This window comes from Homo sapiens, chromosome 5, assembly GCF_000001405.40.
Source record: "Homo sapiens chromosome 5, GRCh38.p14 Primary Assembly".
Classification (NCBI taxonomy): Eukaryota; Metazoa; Chordata; class Mammalia; order Primates; family Hominidae; genus Homo; species Homo sapiens.
The window spans coordinates 92197003-92200760 of NC_000005.10; the positions used below are offsets into that span (position 1 = coordinate 92197003).

A 3758-nucleotide genomic window follows, 5' to 3' on the forward strand; every position below is an offset into this window, starting at 1 on the left:
GAGTTCAATTCCTGGGTATCCTTGTTGACTTTCTGTCTCATTGATCTGTCTAATATTGACAGTGGGGTGTTAAAGTCTCCCATTATTAATGTGTGGGAGTCTAAGTCTCTTTGTAGGTCACTCAGGACTTGCTTTATGAATCTTGGTGCTCCTGTATTGGGTGCATATATATTTAGGATAGTTAGCTCTTCTTGCTGAATTGATCCCTTTACCATTATGTAATGGCCTTCTTTGTCTCTTTTGATCTTTGTTGGTTTAAAGTCTGTTTTATCAGAGACTAGGATTGCAACCCCTGCCTTTTTTTGTTTTCCATTGGCTTGGTAGATCTCCCTCCATCCTTTTATTTTGAGCCTATGTGTGTCTCTGCACGTGAGATGGGTTTCCTGAATACGCACACTGATGGGTCTTGACTCTTTATCCAATTTGCCAGTCTGTGTCTTTTAATTGGAGCATTTAGTCCATTTACATTTAAAGTTAATATTGTTATGTGTGAATTTGATCCTGTCATTATGATGTTAGCTGGTTATTTTGCTCGTTAGTTGATGCAGTTTCTTCCTAGTCTCGATGGTCTTTACATTTTGGCATGATTTTGCAGCGGCTGGTACCGGTTGTTCCTTTCCATGTTTAGTGCTTCCTTCAGGAGCTCTTGTAAGGCAGGCCTTGTGGTGACAAAATCTCTCAGCATTTGCTTGTCTGTAAAGTATTTTATTTCTCCTTCACTTATGAAGCTTAGTTTGGCTGGATATGAAATTCTGGGTTGAAAATTCTTTTCTTTAAGAATGTTGAATATTGGCCCCCACTCTCTTCTGGCTTGTAGGGTTTCTGCCAAGAGATCCGCTGTTAGTCTGATGGGCTTCCCTTTGAGGGTAACCCGACCTTTCTCTCTGGCTGCCCTTAACATTTTTTCCTTCATTTCAACTTTGGTGAATCTGACAATTATGTGTCTTGGAGTTGCTCTTCTCGAGGAGTATCTTTGTGGCGTTCTCTGTATTTCCTGAATCTGAACGTTGGCCTGCCTTGCTAGATTGGGGAAGTTCTCCTGGATAATATCCTGCAGAGTGTTTTCCAACTTGGTTCCATTCTCCCCATCACTTTCAGGTACACCAATCAGACGTAGATTTGGTCTTTTCACATAGTCCCGTATTTCTTGGAGGCTTTGCTCATTTCTTTTTATTCTTTTTTCTCTAAACTTCCCTTCTCGCTTCATTTCATTCATTTCATCTTCCATTGCTGATACCCTTTCTTCCAGTTGATTGCATCAGCTCCTGAGGCTTCTGCATTCTTCACGTAGTTCTCGAGCCTTGGTTTTCAGCTCATCAGCTCCTTTAAGCACTTCTCTGTATTGGTTATTCTAGTTATACATTCTTCTAAATTTTTTTTAAAGTTTTCAACTTTTTGCCTTTGGTTTGAATGTCCTCCCATAGCTCAGAGTAATTTGATCGTCTGAAGCCTTCTTCTCTCAGCTCGTCAAAGTCATTCTCCATCCAGCTTTGTTCCCTTGCTGGTGAGGAGCTGCGTTCCTTTGGAGGAGGAGAGGCGCTCTGCTTTTTAGAGTTTCCAGTTTTTCTGTTCTGTTTTTTCCCCATCTTTGTGGTTTTATCTACTTTTGGTCTTTGATGATGGTGATGTACAGATGGGTTTTTGGTGTGGATGTCCTTTCTGTTTGTTAGTTTTCCTTCTAACAGAGAGGACCCTCAGCTGCAGGTCTGTTGGAGTACCCTGCCCTGTGAGGTGTCAGTGTGCCCCTGCTGGGGGGTGCCTCCCAGTTAGGCTACTTGGGGGTCAGGGGTCAGGGACCCACTTGAGGAGGCAGTCTGCCCGTTCTCAGATCTCCAGCTGCATGCTGGGAGAACCACTGCTCTCTTCAAAGCTGTCTGACAGGGACATTTAAGTCTGCAGAGGTTACTGCTGTCTTTTTGTTTGTCTGTGCCCTGCCCCCAGAGGTGGAGCCTACAGAGGCAGGCAGGCCTCCTTGAGCTGTGTTGGGCTCCACCCAGTTCGAGCTTCCTGGCTGCTTTGTTTACCTAATCAAGCCTGGGCAATGGCGGGCGCCCCTCCCCCAGCCTCGCTGCCGCCTTGCAGTTTGATCTCAGACTGCTGTGCTAGCAATCAGCGAGACTCCGTGGGCGTAGGACCCTCCGAGCCAGGTGCGGGACGTAATCTCGTGGTGCGCCGTGTTTTAAGCCCGTCGGAAAAGCGCAGTATTCAGGTGGGAGTGACCCGATTTTCCAGGTGCCTTCCGTCACCCCTTTCTTTGACTCAGAAAGGGAACTCCCTGACCCCTTGTGCTTCCCAAGTGAGGCAATGCCTCGCCCTGCTTCGGCTCGTGCATGGTGCGCGCACCCACTGACCTGCGCCCACTGTCTGGCACTCCCTAGTGAGATGAACTCGGTACCTCAGAGGGAAATGCAGAAATCACCGGTCTTCTGCGTCGCTCACGCTGGGAGCTGTAGACGGGTGCTGTTCCTATGGGGCCATCTTGGCTCCTCCTCCTGTTATGTGCTTTTTAACATTGTTTATGGCTATTTTTAAACAGAAGTGTTCAATAGTAATCAACCCTGCAGTCTTTTTCTTTCTGGTTTTAGGTTTTTGTTCTTGCCTAGGAAGACCTTCTTCACCACAAATGGTAAAATAAATTCCCTATATTTTCTTGCCATTCAAGAGTATTTTAAATAATTGGTTCTGAAATTCATGTAAGATACAGTATTATGCATTTTGTGATATAAGGATCTAATCTTGTTCCTTTCCTTGTATATAATCAATTGCCCCAATAGTATAATTAATATTTTAATACTAATTTGATATCATATCTTTAGCATGATTATATATGGCATCTGCATATCTTCTCTGATCTGTCTGTGGATTCTATTTTGTTTACTTATTTTTCATCTTCTCTACTCACTGATTAATATTGTATTTCACACCTTTGTAGTATTCTTCAGTAATTTTTCTTACTCCTATGAAATAAATACATGCATAAAAGATAAAAATGAGATAGTAGAAATTGCAGTAGAATTATAAGGAAATGGAATTGTTCATGGCGCTATTATAATACACTCAACTGCCAGTTTCAGAAATAGATACCACTTTTTATTTTATTTTATTGTTTCTTAGGGTATATTTTTAAATGAAACAAAGAAACCTCAATGTATTGATATATCCACTTTAAGCAGTATTTTTATTTTTAGTTTTATTTCCTGACTATTTACTTTGCTTGGATTCTCCATACCTCCTCCTCCTCATCTCAATATATTCACCTTGCCATTTTTAGTTTCTTTTTTGGTTACTTGGCACTTCAAAGAATAGTTATTTCTGTATTTTTGTTCCATTCACTATAGACATTATTTCAAATCCTGACTGAAAGATGAGGATATTAGAAATTCTAAAACTCATCCTCTTTTATCCTCCACCTTCTTTCAGTTCTTAACTGACTTTTTACTTTCACTGTATAGGCTGATTCTAAGTCAAATACTAATAAGCATTATTTTGACTACATAGATACTGCTTGCTACAGAGCAAAAATAGAGTAGGTAATAGTGTTATACCCTTCTTTCTTGTGTTGATTTTCAAAGTGTTTTGGCTATTTTTTTTCTTTCACAATACCTTTTTTAAAAAATCAAAACCCATTAATTCTTCTAATATTTTCAGACTGATATCAGATCTGTGAAATCTCTCTTTTCCTTGATAACACTTCTGTGAATCTTCTACCTCCTGTTCCCATCTGGACCCAGTGAGTTCTAGACCTGCTCTTTATACCA

The 3758-nt window shown here is 41.1% G+C and overlaps 1 annotated feature.

Moving 5' to 3' along the window:
- Positions 1640–2231: an enhancer, noted in NCBI's record as "OCT4-NANOG-H3K27ac-H3K4me1 hESC enhancer chr5:91494459-91495050 (GRCh37/hg19 assembly coordinates)". NCBI's record gives its function as "activates a minimal SCP1, AML or CMV promoter by ChIP-STARR-seq in naive and primed H9 embryonic stem cells {active_cell/tissue: H9 hESC(naive and primed)}" and the evidence as "EXISTENCE:reporter gene assay evidence [ECO:0000049][PMID:30033119]".